The sequence below is a fragment of the Homo sapiens genome, chromosome 5 (assembly GCF_000001405.40).
Source record: "Homo sapiens chromosome 5, GRCh38.p14 Primary Assembly".
Lineage (NCBI taxonomy): Eukaryota > Metazoa > Chordata > Mammalia > Primates > Hominidae > Homo > Homo sapiens.
This window is the reverse complement of record NC_000005.10, coordinates 169,062,344-169,079,192: the sequence shown is the minus strand read 5'-3', so window position 1 is coordinate 169,079,192 and position 16,849 is coordinate 169,062,344. Positions and strand designations below refer to the sequence as shown.

The window sequence follows — 16,849 nt, the reverse complement described above, 5'->3', positions numbered from 1 at the left end:
TTTTTCTCCCAGATAGAAAAGGAAAGAATTCATCAGTGATTCATTGCCTTGAGATACGGCAGGATGAGTAGCCAAGGATCTGCTTTTCTGTCTCTGTCACTGTCTCTGTCTCGCCTTCTCTTCTTTCTTGTTTAGGGAGCTAAAGGCAGAGACTGAATTTTAGGAAGCAATTTTTTTTTCCAATCTCCTCCAGAATTCTGTGCCATGAGAAAGCTTAAAATCCAGTGTGATAAAGGATTTTGAGTTTGAACTATGGCATTTAAAAAACTAATTAATTCCTCCAAGTCTTAGTTTATTTCTTTTTGAAAACAAATAATAGGAATATTTCCTAGACTACAGCTCCTTGAGGACAGGAATTGGGTTTGTTTTCCTTATTTCACTTGGCGTGTCTGGTATGATATCTGCCACACCATCAGTGTTCAATAAATATTGGAATGAATACATATCACCTACCACACTGAGTAGCTGAAATTATGTATTGAGATATTGTGTGCAAAAGCTCCTAGCACAGTTATTTTCATTAGTGCTCATTTTTTCTGATTTTAGACATATTTCTTAGAAGGATGAAGATGAAGGGTAAAGAAAGGAAGGTGATAGGAGGGAGAAGCTGGAGAGTAACAAGGAAAACAAGGAAATGAGTGAAGTTGGTGAAGTAGGAAGGGTGCTGGGTTTGCGGGAGACTGGCCTTTTATTCCCCACCGGGTCTGTGATTTCTGCTTGGTCATTTGACTACTCTGAACCTCAGGTTCCTCTTCAGTAAGATGGGAATACAAATCTTCACTTTATCGGTGGTGGGTATCCAAGGAGAAATATATTTGTGAAGGCAGCCCCCAGAGTTCCTGACATGCCTTAGGTACAAAACGACATGAAACCTGAAGGTGGAGAGGAAACCAGAAACAGAGCGTAGAAAGGAGAATAGGAAGCCAGGGAATCTTTTGGCTGGTTTGCGTTGGACTTGGGCCTGGGGAGACATTGCATTTGGACATAAGCCCCTTATCGATGAACCCTGTATTTGTAACCTGATGTGTTGAAATTGAAGCAGTGGGTGGTTGAGGTCAGGAGTGGGTAGGCACAGCATGTGATCCCTGTGGGTGAAGCAAAATGAACACAAGGCCCCAGATCATGCCCCTAGAAAGTAAAGCAAGGTTTCCTAGGATTCTCCAATGCACAGACTCAAGCTGAATCTTGATCCTGTATGGGTTGGAGATTGTGGTTGTCAATGAACTTGGCAAGGCAGGCAACAAACTGGCTGTGTGTAGAGACACAGCCTTAAAAAAGGAAACTTAAAAAGTGTTGCTATTTTTTAAAATAATATTTTTTTACAATGACACTTTTTTTTTTTTTTTTTAGTAATTGAAGAAGTTGTGGACATTTATTCTGGAAATTTTGGAAAATGTAGAAAACACATATAAGCCCATCAAGTGATAACCCATCTCTCCGTGACATTTTGATATACATTGACCCTTGAACAACACAGGGGTTTGGGGTGGTGACCCCCCACACAGTCAAAAATCTCTGTTTAACTTTTGACTCCCCGAAAACTTAGCTACTAATAGCCTAATGTTGATCAGAAGCCTTACTGATAACATAAACAGTTAATGAACAGATATTTTATATGTATTACTGTTTTTTGTTTTTTGTTTTTTGTTTTTTTGAGACGGGGTCTCACTCTGTCACCCAGGCTGGAGTGCAGTGGTGTGATCTCGGCTCACTGCAACCTCCGCCCTCTGAGTTCAAGTGATTCTCCTGCCTCAGCTTCCCAAGTAGCTGGGATTACAGGCACCAGCCACTGCACCAGGCTAATTTTTTGTATTTTTTCAGTAGAGACGGGTTTTCACCATCTTGGCCAGGCTGGTCTTGAACTCCTGACCTTGTGATCCGCCCGCCTCAGCCTCCCAAAGTGCTGGGATTACAGGTGTGAGCCACCGCGCCCGGCCTACATACTGTATTCTTACAATAAACTAGAGAAAAGAAAATTATTAGGAAAAACACAAGGAAGAGAAAATATACTTACAATTCATTAAATGGAAATGGATCACCATAAAGGTCTTCATCCTTGTCCTCCTCACATGGAGTAGGCTAGAGAGGAGGAAGAAGAGGAGAGTTTGTTCTTGCTGTCTCAGGGGGACAGAAGCAGAAGAAAATCCACATACAAGTGATCCCAGGTAGTTCAAACCTGTGTTGTTCAAGGGTCAACTGTTTATCCCTCTAGGGTGTGTGTGTGTGTATGTGTGTGTGTGCGTGTGTGTATGAGAGAGAGGGATTTTTGTGTGTGTGAGAGTTGTATAAAATTGGGGCATATTTTTATTATATCCTAAGTACTTAGTTGTCCCAAGTCTCATCAACTGAGTAGCACTTGATTGACTGTCAAGTCCTGTACTCGATGAATTGAACTAGATTCTATTTCTGCTTAGCTCAAGTCTTTAAATTTAAAAAGAATATTCTTGGGAAAGGTTATATTCACCCACATCCTACAACCAGTTCTAGAGTTTTCAAGGACTAGAATTTCCAAAAACTGAGTTATAAAATGTTCCCTGTCTCTCTCAGGCTCTCAAGACAAATTTCTTCCACCCTCTCTCTCCTCTTAAAGTAAGTATGAGATCAGAAAAAAAAGAAATCCATTTTGACAATTTCTTTCCTGTTCTATAAAAAGAAGTTTTAGCAAGCTAGAGAGAGAGAGGTAGGGAGAAGGGGGAAAGGAGAGAGAAATGAGGGTAGAGACAAGGCAAAGATAGTGGAAGAAAGGAGGCAGGGAGATGGAGAGGGAAGCTCTAGTGCTGCTTTTCTTGCTGTGAAACTTGGGGAAGTCACTCATTTTACTAATATTTACTGAATGCCCATTACATAGCAGCCCTGGGTTATAATCACAGCCTCCTGAACAATCTCTAGTGCTAATATATGGTCTCTCTGATCTCTTTTAAGTCTGAAAAGGCCCTCAATTCCTTGGCTTTTGAATAGCACTCTTTATGAACTACTGGGGAAAAGTCAATGCATCTTCCTTCCTGTGATCCCCCAGCAACTCACTTTGGCCAGTGCCAGACCAAGGACAGGAGTCACCACCAGGCCCATCTTCTCCAGAATGAAACCCCCCTGAGGGTCCTGCCCTTGGTGGGCCACCTTCACTCTCATACAGAGAACAGAGGGGCTCAGCTTGTTAAGGAAACTTCCCTTAACACCTCTCACCACATTGCAGATTCTCAAAGAGACTGGGAATTGAGCTTATCACCCCTCCCCAAGATGTAGATTCTGTCCCCCAACTCTTCTGGCAGGTATTGGCTTTATTTAAGCCTGCAGAGACAAACTAGGTTGGTAGGTAAGTAGATAGACAGACAGACAAACTATGTAGATAGATAGACAGAAGGTCTGCCTTTACTAGCATGGCTGGAGAAAGTACTAGATGAAATCCGAAAGAGAAGCACAGAAGAGCCAGATCATGTAGGATTTTGCATGAAAGGCAATGGGAATTCTCTGAAGAGTGTGCTGTGGTTCATCATTTTCTTTTCTCCATTGTTCTATCTGCATATAAGAAGCCAAGTCTCTCTTTTGCTTCCACCTAGAATGTTGCTGGGCTTGAACCAGGCTCAGGCAACCCATCACAAATTTCCTTGAAGAAAGCTCTTATACAGCCCACTCCAGCATAGCTAAAATTTAGGTAAACACTTTCCTCACTCTGAGTTTTAGAAGCAAGTGTTTCTTAACAAAATGCCTTCAACTTCACGATATTTTCGAATACAGCTTTTATTCCAGGATTTAGAGACACAGACACCACAGCACCAAAACACACCAGCAGAGAAAGCTCCAGGTCCTCACTCAGTCCTGATGCAGACACTTTATTTCCCTACGTATGTACTTTATTGTTGTTGCTTCAGGAAAAATACATGCAAAAATCCTGGCATCAACAGATCCCCTCTTTCCTCCCCTTCTTACCCTAGTCACGATTACTTAGACTTTCTTGTAGAATAAGAAAAGATGACTAAAATGTCAAACCCCACCATCATCCCAAAATGTCTGGTCCAAAATTAGAACAAGGAGAAGACAATCAATCACTCCCAGGTTACGAATCATGACCCAGCCATAAGCAGAGTCTCTCGGTGATGTATTATGTTTATATCTGACTCTCCTTCTTGACAGTTGGCCTTCTGTGATCAGTTTCCTGCATTGTAAAACTACTCCAGATGTGAGAACAGCTCAATAGCAGAGCTCTCAGCCTAATTAATTCAATCACAGGATGGTGATTAAGAGGTCAGCGGTGACATTTCCAGAGTGCACCTTCTGTCTTCCCAGCAGTTAGCTTGTCCTAAGGCTCCAAAGCCCTCAGGTGGCTCTGGAGCCACAGGAGCCCTTGGGGGCCTTGTCCCACCCTCAGGTCTTGCTTCAGCTGTTTGCAACAAGGCTGACCAAGAAACAAGGCCACGGCCACAGTTTGGTCCTGCTGGGAAGTGTAAATGTTTCCCCGTAAAAATGTTCACCCTAGATCCAAACACAAAGGAGCCAGAGTTATGAGTCCCTGGTATGCTGACTTTAATTTTGAAATCCATACTTAAGTCTGCATCTTAGGAGGCAGCAGAAGGAAAAGGTGAAACTTGAGACCTTCAGAAAGGTACTCACCTCTCCGAGCTTTTACTCCCTCAACTGTAAAATTGGGTTTCTGATGGTTACTTCATAGGATGTGTTTTAGGAATACATGAGTTATTAATTGAAAAACTTTTGGGACAGTGCATAGAAGGTAGAAACACTCCATAATGCTAGCTATCATCATCATTATTATTACTACTACTGTTATTATTAATGTCATTTATACCTGAGTTGTATCACTCAGGATACACACTCAAGCCACAGAATCTGACTTAGCTGATTTAAGCAGAAAAGGAATGCGTTAAAAATGATATTGGGTGACCTACAGAATTTCTCTGAGAGCTGGAAAATGAGACCTGGAGACCACCCAGCTAGCAACAATACCCAAAATACAGTGGAGACTTGCCCTGTGAGGGTAACACTGTTGCCCCTACCCAGCTCCAGAGATTATAGGGTACATGTTAGACATCATCCACCTGGGGCTCTGAAAACTACTGCTCCCTCCATCCACCACTGCCCCAGAACTTAATCTTGTTCAACCAGCTGCTGTCTCTAGAAAGGATTTTTCCAAATCCCCACTTCTTTGAGGAATTCACTCCTTATTCCCTTGCGGTACTATTCTGTCTGATTGATAAAATATCAATGGTGTGTCCCTCCCCTTACTGCAAGAGAGTCTGGGAAAGCACACATCTGTCTGTATTGTCCAGCTGCATTGCACTAAAGGAATTCCTGAGGTTAGGAAATAAAAGAGGTTTATTTTTGTGCACAGTTCTGCAGGCTGTACAGGAAGTGTGGTGCAAGCATCTGCTTTTGGTGAGGGCCTCAGGGAGTTTACAATCATTGCAGAAGGTGAAGGGGGAGCCTTCACATCACATGGCAAGAGAAGAAGCAAGGTTGTGGGGAGGTGCCAGGCTCTTTTAAACCGCCAGCTCTCAGGTAAACTCAGGGCAAGAACTCACCCATTACCATGGGAATAGCACCAAGACATTCATGAGGGATCAACCTCCATGACCCAAACGCCTCCCACTAGGCCCCACCTCCAACATTGGAGATCACATTCAACATGAGATTTGGAGGGGACAAACATCCAAATCACATCACTGACATTGTCTGATTCTACTGTAGAAGACGACTTTGCCTCCCACCAAGACCCAGAGAATGGAGAATTCCCCAAATGTTGGAAGAAGGAGGTGCAGTACCAAAGATGAGAACGAATGACAGAGGAGGCTGTTGATGAGGATGAGGGCTTGTGTAAGATTGAACCTTGTGCAGCATGGTGTGATTATTGTATATCCAAGGCCCAACTGACCAACTGGACCACCAGGTGTTCATCCTGCGGGGCTAAGGATTGTCCTCTTACTCTTTTAATGTGCTAATGCCTCTGGAAGTACATGAGAATTAGGATATTAAGGTCTCTCCCCTCCCTTGTTACATGGAGAAACCAAGTAACAGGAAGGCACTGGGAAAAGAGAGGTGGCGGTGTATGAAAAGGAGCCTTCAAAGAAAAGCATCACAAGGGACCTGAAGGATCTGGCCTGAAGGATTCACGATTTGCACTCTCCCTGCGTTGTGTGAGCACTTACCAATAAATATTAAATGAATGTGCTGTAATTATTGGATGAGTCTCTGGCCACCTGAAGCTACCCACATATTTGAGGTAGGCTGGGATCTGCTGTGGAGGCTGCTGGTATTTCAGCAAGTGGCGGGCAACCTTTACAGCAACAGTTGGGTCTCCTGCAGAGTCAAATGCTGCTTTGCAAGAAGGAAGGTGTTGGAGACTGAGAGTGACTAAAGGTGGCAGGAAGAGCTCCCAGATGCTCAGACCAGGATTTGGCATAAGGCTGCCCAAAGGATTACTCTGGCCAGTGCCTCCAGCCGTGCAGAAGATCTGGTATGGCTTCTGTCTTCCGTGGCTGGGCCCCTACTGTTCTATGCTGACCCTGCCCAGCTGAAGTCTAGAAACATCCCTAACCTCCTCCATGGGTGGCTATGTCAAAATGATGATAAAATGTGTTCAGGCAGGCTAGATCCAGTACTTGCATGGTGGCTCTGTTTGATCCACCTGAGACTCTTCAGCCTTGAATAAGTCACATCTTCATTTGTACTAACCCTTCCTCACAGTCCCTTTGGAGCTGGAGAGACCTGGAATGAATAATGTGAGAGTTGCCTTTGTGCAGAGTCATCCATGCCTGAAGTCATTTGCTCCTCTCCACCCATTGGGGAAGGACTAGCAGATATTTATTTGCCTCATTTGACAGATGAGGCATCTAGGGTTCAGAAAGCTTATGTGACTTCTCTAAGGTCACAAAGTAGTACATTGAAGATAAATCTCAAGTCTCCTGTCTCCCAGTCTGATGCCAGTGCATTTTCAAGTTTTTCAAGCTTATCATTATTCTCTGCTGCTCCCTGGAACACTCTTACATGCATGGACACTACCACCATCACCACCATACCCCCATACCTCCATCACTGCAGGAAGACCCCTCTATTTGATGCAATACTTGCATGTGGGGACCATCTTCCTCTCCCCCTAACTGGTTTTGGAATCTGGATGTGGTCATTCTCATACATAAAGGATGCTTTGGCTATTTGGGGATCAAAGCTGAGCTATTGTTCTAGTTCCAACTCAAGCCAACTTACATCCAAGCAACATCAAAGGGAGCTTTTGTTACCTTCTACTGTCTCTCTGTGACGTTCCAAGAGTCTTGAACCTATCCTTTCTCCCCTTCTTCCTCTAACCAAAATGACCCAATCCCTCTGCCCTGCCCACTCATCCCACCCTCCTAACCACTCGCACAAGGAATTGATAAGGCAAGAGTGGCTATTTCCTGAACAAGAGGCCAAGCAGTCATTGTGGTAACTCAAGAACACAAGGTCTATGTGGTGGAAAGGGACCGCCAGGCAGTTTCCATTGCAACCACGACTTGGATTCTACACTTGCACACAGTAAAGATTCCATGTCAAAGGACTGCCACAAAAACTCCCCTGAAGTGGAGGCTGGCATTGCTGGGAGGAAATATGGAGCACAGCTTCATTAGAGGGGCTGAAACCAGGAAAGAAACTTCCAGAGTGAGAAAAAGCTCTCATAATACATTTTTCCACTATAGTCATTTATCGCTCTGGGTGCCCTCCACCACAGTAATCAGTGTTTTATGAACTACCTTTCCCTCAAACGCTCTTTCTCCTCTTTATTTTGCCCAAAATAAGAGTTTAATTAAACTCTAGATTTCTCCTGCTGCTACTTCTTAGAGAAATATAGTTGAAGGCACTAGGCTGTGGAGAAATGATTTTATTGGTTGCTTCTGTTTATAAAGAAGAAGAAAAACAAGCATAGTCCCTGGTTTTGTGTTCATTACATGAGCCCCATTCAGGGACTGAAGCCAACATGGCACTTTCTGGGGGATTAAGTGTAAAAAGGTGTTTTGATCGTGATAACCCCACTTATCAAAAACTAACCACAAATCACAGCCTGTAACAAGCACAGTCTCAAGACTCAGGGCATATAGCCTCTTAATTATGTTACCTGTGAAGTAAGTTCTCTTACATTTTACAGATGGGAAAACTGAGGCAGGTTTGAGTACCTGCCCAAGGTCCCACAGCTAGGAGGTGGGGAAGCCAGGATTCAAAGTCAGTATTCTGTCTCCAAGGACCAAGTAGCTAACCTCTATGGATGCTTCCTTTTAAGGTTAAAGGTTGATGACGGTTAAAGTGGCTCAGCAACATGTGATTCTAAATGTTTTTTTAAGGTTAATTTGGAAGTTAGGGCTTCAGGCTTTTGTTTTTTGTTTTTGTTTTTTGTTTCTTTTTTTTTTTTTTTTTTGAGGAAAATGTAGAGAGCAAGTCTAGGCAAATGTTGGTAGACAGCACTATGGAATTCAACACCCATAGATTTGGGAACTCAAGTGGTGAATCTGGCCTTTGCATCTTTAAATACCTTGGAAGGTCAGATTAGCACAGAAACCCTGATGCTGAACCGAACACTTGGTCCTCCCAGTTGGCAAACATTAGCTGGTTGAAATACTTCCTGATGGAAATACCGATAACACGCTGACAAAAGTTCAAACTTGTTTCTAAAGGTCATCTCGACTGGCAGAGTAATTAGTTCAAGTTTGCCTTTTGCTTTTCCCTGGTGAGAGTTTTAGCTGAAACCTCAGATTTTAGCCCTCTTTGCAACATACAGTCAGTGACAAGAGACAGCCTGAGATTCTACCCAATACAGAGTGTGTGGTCATCAAAAAGTTTCTCTTCATCTGGGCCAGAACTGGAGTTAGACATTTACACTGGAACTTAATGATAGCAGCAGCCTCTCCAGAGGAAATCTCCACCCAGTCCATTACTTGGATTCCCCAGGATGCCCCTTCAATCCCAGAAACATCCAGTTACTTCAAGGACACATCACTCGAACATACTGCAAACCCCACAATACCACCTGTTGAAGTCCCCTGAGTCCCCCTTTCTCTGTATTGCCTGTCACCTTTCAGCCAGCTCCCTAGGATTCTGCTCAACCTTCCCTTTTACCCAAAATCTAATCAGACCAATCCTACCTTCCAAATATCACTTTTCATTTCCTTTTCTCTTCCCACTGCTGTCACCTTGTGCATGGGCTATTACAGCTGTCCTATCTGCATCCCACCATCCTCTGCACTGCACGTGGAGTAACCTTTCTGAAACCTCCATTGGAGCTTGACTTGACTCCACTTAACATCTGAAGATCTTTCCGAGGGTTCCCCACTACCCAGACTCTCATCATTGCATGTGTTCCTCTGTGGTCTGGTCTGGTGCCTGCCTGCTTCTCTGTTCTCATGGTGTACACACTCACCACACTCCATTTGCTTCATATTCACTCTGTCTGTCTGTCTGTCTGTCCACCTCCCTACCTCCCCTCTCTCCCTCCCCTACTTCCTCTCCTCATACCAAACCTCTTGGTGATCCCCAGTGGGTCATGATGTATAAACATTTGCACATAATATTGCCTCTACCTGTCATAACCTTGTGATAACCTTACCGCACATAGAGTGTGCTAAGTGTCCAGTGCTCCCAGAGACCCCTGGGCATGCCTCTAGGGGACCACTCCTATAGGTCTGAGTTCCCTCGGCACCCAGGGTAGGGCCCTCTCTCTCTAGTGAATTGCAGAGGGCCTGCACATGGGAAGTGCTCACAGCCTGCCTGCCTCCCTGCCTGTGGAACAAATGGGATTGAACTCTGACCCTAAAAGGACTGTGACGGTGATCTCCTGGGACATGCATTCTAGGGCCCTCCAAGGCAGTTCCTCTTCCTCATATTTCACCTGTCGTGTGCATGTCACTCCTCTCTCGACTGTGAAATGGGAGCACCTGGAAGGTGGTACCCAGCAGCAATGGACGGTCTCTGGAGTCAGACTGGCACTCCAGACCCCTCTCAGGCACTGAGGAGTTGTGTGCCCCCTTAATATGTGCCAAACTCACTTTCCTCAACTGTAAATTGGGGGTGGTCATTGTTATCACCTCTAAGGATTGTTGCAAGGATTAACTGAGATAATTTGCATAAAGCACATAGTCTACATCTTTGCTCTTCAATAAAGGGCAGCCATTGCTTTGTTATTTCCTAGCTGTACCTTCTACTTGATTGTGGTAGGGTTCATGCCTATCCACTTATTTATTCTATGTGTTGTAAAGACCTAAAAGAAACACCCAATAAATATATTAATTGAAATTTAATTGCCACTAAGTCACCACTACTTTAGAAGGTAAACTTTTCCTATGGGATCATAATAAAAGGATTCTGCATTTTTTTTTTGAGGCTTTTAAAATGTGGATATTTAAGAGGGTTTTTCCCGTAATGAGTATGATAAAGGCACTGTGGCAGAGCTTCTCCAGCTGGGTGGGTTGTGTTGTGTGTGCTTAGTGCATGCTTGAGCCCAGAGATGTCACAAGAAGCCATCCTGAAACTTGCTGGGGGTTGGCCTACATGCATTGTTGGGAACATTGTCCTTTTCAGGATTCACTGAAGAATTTTCTGTCAACCCTGAGTTGCCAGAAAGGATTATATTTCTATAAAATGAGTGCTATGTTTGGAAATTTTCTCTCTTTGCTTTGGCCACTAGGAAGCTGAGTATAATATGCAGCCCATCTTAAACGAAACCCTCTGGTGATCAACATGGTGTTCTGACTTGGCCCCAGGCTTCGTCTTAGTGATCTACATTATTCTCCTATACTTAGTCTCTTTACCTCAGCACCTAGCTCGATACCTGGCTAACGGGTGAAAAATTCTTAACCAGTCTATTTCCCAAAGTCTATTTACCAACAGACTGCTCTTCATACATTTTTCTATACTTGTTTCATATATTTTTTGGAAAATGGCGAGATATAAGTGAAGAAATGTTATATTAACATTTTTTTCTTTCTCTTCCTCTCTTTTTTCTTCCCTCATCTGTCTTCTTAAAACATAGTGAGAGTTCCCTTACAGCAGATTTATTGTACTTTTACAACTGAGAGGGGAATAGTGCTTATCAGCTTGACTGGTGGAAAATTTCCAAGCTGCACAGTTCACTAGTTTATATTACCTAATAGAGAGATAAATAAGCCATGATTCTTCTTAAGGACTGGCTTTTAATTAGATTTTTAATGGATCCTCTTTGACTTTCCCAAGCATAAGTACTGCTGTATTAGTTCATTATTGTGATTAAAAGCAGCTAATAATTATCATAACTAAATAATTTTCCTCAAGTGTGCCAGCCCAGTTTGATGCCCTGAGCGTTAGCAGCCGCTGGCCTAAGCCTGTCTCTTTTTCTTTGCTGTGCATAGCAGAGCAGCTATTTTGAGTTGGAGGCTGGGAAGCCTGCAGACATAGGAAGGCACAAGGGACAGAAAGTGCCAGCTGTCAGAGCCTGTGTCTTGATGCTCTGTGTGGTGCTGCTTGAAACACCCTCCATTTCACTCCTCTGATGTCTCAAATTTTAACCCAACTGGAATATCTCCCCAAGTATCTTTAGGTCACTAGTCACGGCATAAGTCAGGATGCCCAAGTAGCAGGAGGTTTATGAGCTGCAAAAGGCTCATTCAGAGGCTCCGCAACATCAGCATTGGACTGAGAATCAAACTTGCAGCATCCACTTCTCAGCCTCCCAGCCTTTTGCCGTGGAGGCACAGAGATGGATGGATTGTCCCAGGAACCACACTGCCTATGTGGGGTAATTATTCTTCATTCTTTTTTGTTGTTGTTTTATTTTTTTTTGAGGTGGAGTCTCGCTGAGATGGCCAGGCTGAAGTGCAATGGTGTGATCTCTGCTCACTGCAACTTCTGCTTCCCAGGTTCAAGCAATTCTCCTGCCTCAGCCTCCTGAGTAGCTGGGACTACAGTTGTGTGCCACCATGCCTAATTTTTGTATTTTTAGTAGAGACAGGGTTTTAACATGTTAGCCAGGCTGGTCCCAAACTCCTGACCTCAGGTGATCCACCCACCTCAGCCTCCCAAAGTGCTGGGATTACAAACATGAGCCACTGTACCCGGCCAATTCGTCCGTCATTCTTTACCTTTTTAAGAATATAAGAATAAACAAAGATGTCATGGTGGAAATTTTTGAAAATGACTAACAGGAAGCGAATAATAATCACAATTAGTTTTATTACCAATATTGTGTGTTTGTTCTTCTTGTCTTTAGGCATGTATGTCTTGTCTTTTTTTTTTTTTTTTTTTTCAGGAAAGGGATCATGGTGTTGCCTTAGCAATATATCATGAATGTTTTTCCATGTCATTAAATTGTCTTCCACAAAATCATTTCTTAAGTTCAGCCAAGTAGGTCATTATATAAATGTACCATAACTTATTAATCTCTGCCTTTTGTTGGACAATTCAGATGATTTTAAGACTTGTATTATATTGTAAGCAACATTTCAATTAATATCCTTTTTAAAAAAATATTTGAGTATACCATGATGATTTCCTTGGGCGAAAACTTTACATGCCGGTCAAAGGGAGTGGAGAATGTTAATGCTTTTGCTATATAGTACCAAATTGCCTTCTAGAAAAATGGAGCAAAGTAAACTTCCACTAGCAGGGTATGAGGATTGATTACTTCTTCATATGTTGTCCAACACTGGGAATTATCATTGTTATCATTAATTATTTTCCTAGGTTTCAAGGCACAGGGAATGGTGGTTGATTTAATTTGCACTTTTTTTGGTCTTGTAAGTTGAGCGTTTTTTCATGCATATGTTGGCCATTTGAATTTCTTATTTTGCAGATTGCCTCCTCTTGTTCTTTGCCCATTTTGGGCTGTGATGTTAATTTTGGTGTGATTATCTTTTGAAGGATTCAGATGGTCCTACTTTACCAAAAATAATTTTCCCCACTTACTGTCTGTATTACCTCATACTAAAGGGGAAGATAGGATTGACCCTGGGCTTGGGACTGGAGAAATGTAATGGTAGCACTGCAATGGTACCACTGCAGTCAGAATATAATTTAACAAATTCCAGACTGCTCAAAAATAGTTTTTACATTTTAGTGCCAGCTATGGTTGTATTTGCATTATTTTAGTTAGACTGTGTTTGAGTCCTGGATTTGCCATTTACTAGCTTTGTGAGCTTGGGCCAGGTTACCGCACCTCTCTGAGGCTCAGTTTCTTCATCTGTCAACTGGAATGACACCTGCCTTGCACACTTTTTGCTAGTAACAAATGTGATGAAGTTCATGAAACATAGTACCTGGCACAAGGATGGCAGCCATTAAGAGATATTTAAGAGACTATATGTATGATACCTAATTTTCTACTCAAACGTGTTACTTTAAAGTAGCCTTGATGGAATCATAAAGGTCTCCCTCACCCTCTGTTCCTCCCTCTTTGCTGAAGGGACAGAGAAGCAGGGGTGCATGCTATGTTGGGAAGAAGCCTTCCAGCTCCTATGGAATGGGCTATCCGGGAGGATTTGCAGAGATCTTGCCCTCGTTGCCCCACAGTGGCATGGGAATAGCAGTGCTCCCAGGACCCAAGGATGCCTTTGGGAGGGTGACAGGGCCTTCACATTCCTTAGCAATGAGCAGGATGTCTGATGTGACGAAGACAAAGGTCAAGTTTAAAAGAGGACTGTCTTGATGGCCAGGCTCCTCCCATTCATTCCCCAGAGAGACAAGTATAGAACTTCTGGGGACACCAGGACGTGGGCTCAACTCTACAAACACTTCAGAGGGGCCGCCCAAGTGGAGGGGAATGGATTTACAAGGACTTTGACATGGACCTTGGGCTCTGCTCTGTGTGATGGCTTCCATATTAACCATTTGGCATCAAATGGGGAATATTTCTTCTATCATTCTTTTTTTTATTCTAGCAGGCTGTGTGATACACTAGACGGTAGCTGCCACCAAGGTGAATACTGAATGTTCATCAGACAGTTGGAGGGCAGCAGTGACTGCGTTTGAAGCAGGTTTGAAAAGGGCACTGGTCTTACTTTATATGCACATCTAAGATTCTCTAAGGAATCCTCTGAGCATTTTAGGTGGTATCTGCAGGTTTCGCTTTGCACCTTTCCACTAATATGACATATGACTGTTTAACCATATGAACTTGTCTCCTCTGTGCTTCTGGTTCTTCAAGGACCATACTAATAATTTCCATACCTTCCTCAAAGGCAAAGTTTTGAGGATAAAATTAAATAGTGGGAATGAAAGGTCAGAACTCTTTGTGTCAAGGCAAGCAATTAGGCTGGGTTCTAGTTTCGAAACTGCCAGGGAAAAGTCCTCTGAAGCTCTTATTTCCGTTTCATTAAAATGAGGAGGTCGGGCTGGAAAATCTCTTTGGTCCCTCATAGGTGTAACGTTCTGGGAGTCTATATGAAATATTCAAAAGGATTCATCAACAGCAAATCCCTAGAACATAGTGCTCCTAGAATTGAATCAATATTGAAGGAAATCCAGTGTCTCGGGACAGAAGATGCACAGAGAAGAGCCGGACTGACCTTTCTTGTAGCTGCAGTCACAAGAGACTTATGGCACGGGAAGCCGTAACACTCATCATACAGCCAGTTATTGCATGTGAAGTGTGTGAAATTTGGCAGCAGAAGAACCTGGGTTCAAATTTTGGCTCTGTTAGTTTCCAGCTATGTAACCTAAAACAAGTCATTTTACATCCCTGGCCTCAGTTTCCATCTCTGTGAGGAAAAAAGAAAAAGGACAATACTCATGCTGGGTCTTGTGAGTGGCAAATAAGATCATATCTAAAAATACTGGCATATTATAGGGCCTCACACATAGTGGGCATTCACCAATGTGACCGCCATTGCTTTTATTGGACTAAATCAGAGAAGACAAGTTTCCATTTCAACCACCCAAAGAATTAAGAGGCAGTGGCTCGGAGCCAAGAATACTTCAAGCAGGCAAAGAATGTTTGTTCTGTCCCTTGCCTCCCCTCCCGACTTCAGTTAGAGTCCTTTCAGGAAGTCAGAGGTGGGTCACAGGGTTTTAATAATTCCAGAAAGAGCATCTGTTTATCTGTTTAAAGGAGAGCAACAGAATCCAATTTTCTGGCACCAAGCAGAATGGAAAGGTGTTCATTTGTAATGGGCTGGTTTCAGGCCTTAAGCCCTTCCCTTTTGAAAATAATTTACCCTGCTAATTACATCATATTAACCAACTACTCCCGGTATAGATTAAAGGACTGCTTTTTCAAATCATTCTATAAATTAAAAGCAGTCCTCCCAGATACATGATTTCATGCATAAATACGGCATTTGTGTTGTCAGAATTTATGTTGAGAGGAAATGGAGGAAATGTATCCTTAAGGAAATATTTTGCAGTAGTTGTTAACACCTTCCACTCCTTCTGCTCAGTGCTTCTCGTACCATAATATAAATGTGCAAGCTGTTAGCGCGAGATGAACATTCCGGAGCTTCAGGGGCCACCTGCCTGTGTGGCTGACTTGTTATTTAAATTCCCTTTGCATTTCACAGATTTAAATACTGCCAGGGTCCTGATTTATGGTGTCCGCATCACACACATAAAACTTTCACTAGGATCTCCCTGTTTCTCACTCACGCACACGGGAGGAAGTCAATTGTGGCCACAGGTGGAATAGATTGTGGAGCAAGTAATCCCCAGCAGGGTGTAAAGACCAGAGGGGTGTGCCCCCGAGGCGGGTCAGAAAGCAGCAGGGCTTGGGAGCCTCAGTTCCAGGAAATCTGTCCCTACCCTTCCTGTCAGCCACAAGAGAATCGAGGGAATGTGGGAAGGATTGAAGGGGTAGAGACATTTAAGAGAAGGAATGCTGAATGGGATCATCTGGTCCTGGTAGGAAGGAAACTTCCAGCCCCTCCTTCCAGCGCTGGGTCTCATGGCTATCAAGGGGCAAGCCTGTAAGAAGCAATCAAAGCAAATAACTGACGAATTCAGGACTGACCCTGAAAGTCTGCCCTGAATCATGCACTGACCCTCATGCAGCCGGCATTAAGGCCAGTCATGGTCCTCTGTGCAGGGCTGGCACGGGGGCTCAATTGGCACTTATGATTACAAACTTCGTCCCTCTAGGTATTTACAGCTGACAATGTGCTAATTTATCCAAGCTTCGTGGTTAAGCTTGGCAGACCAGCAAATGCACCCAAATGCACCAACAGGTACATTTCGAAAACAGTTCAAACAAGAACAGTTTATATTACAAAATGTGAGAAACATCTTAGAAAAGGCTTGATTTTGAACAGGTTTATACACACTTGCACACACAGCCTCTTGCTGGTGCTGTTCACCTTCCTGGACATTCCTGTCATTCTTGGTTAAAGGTCTTTTTCTTCCCCAGCTACTTTGAGAATTTCTCCATATGGGAAAGGCAGGGAAGGAACATGAAGGGGGAAATGATGGTCACAACAACTTACTGGACCCAACTCTGAGCCAGGGGGACTCATGGGTAAAGAAACCTAACAGGCAGAATCTGTGCTCTTATGGAATTTACACTGTTTTGAGGAGAGAGACCATACAAACCAAACACATGAGTAAATGAAATAGTTTCCACAAAGTGTAAAATAGGAAGACAATGCAATAGGATGATACACTAGTATCTAACGGCAGGAGCAAGAAGATAGGACAGGCGTGGAAAGTGGAAGGGACAGAAAGTCACCTGGAGCACAGTGAGTGAGGGCAGAGGAAGTGGACAGATAAAATCAGAGAAGAAGGCAGAGGCCAGGCCTTCTAGGGCCAAGGCAGGAACTCAAAGATGATGAGTCCTTGCCTACACTATGAAGGTAAGGAGAAGGATTAAGTCGTTACCAGGTCTATTCCTGGGTGTCTATGTAGCATTCATGTGGCACCCAAA

General features: G+C 43.4%; 1 protein-coding gene across 3 annotated transcripts in view; it reads left to right on the top strand.

Annotated features, from left to right (window-relative positions):
* SLIT3 (slit guidance ligand 3) overlaps nucleotides 1–16,849 on the top strand; it is a 639,400-nt gene that overhangs the window by 221,947 nt on the left and 400,604 nt on the right. The gene's annotated exons all lie outside the window — the stretch shown is intronic.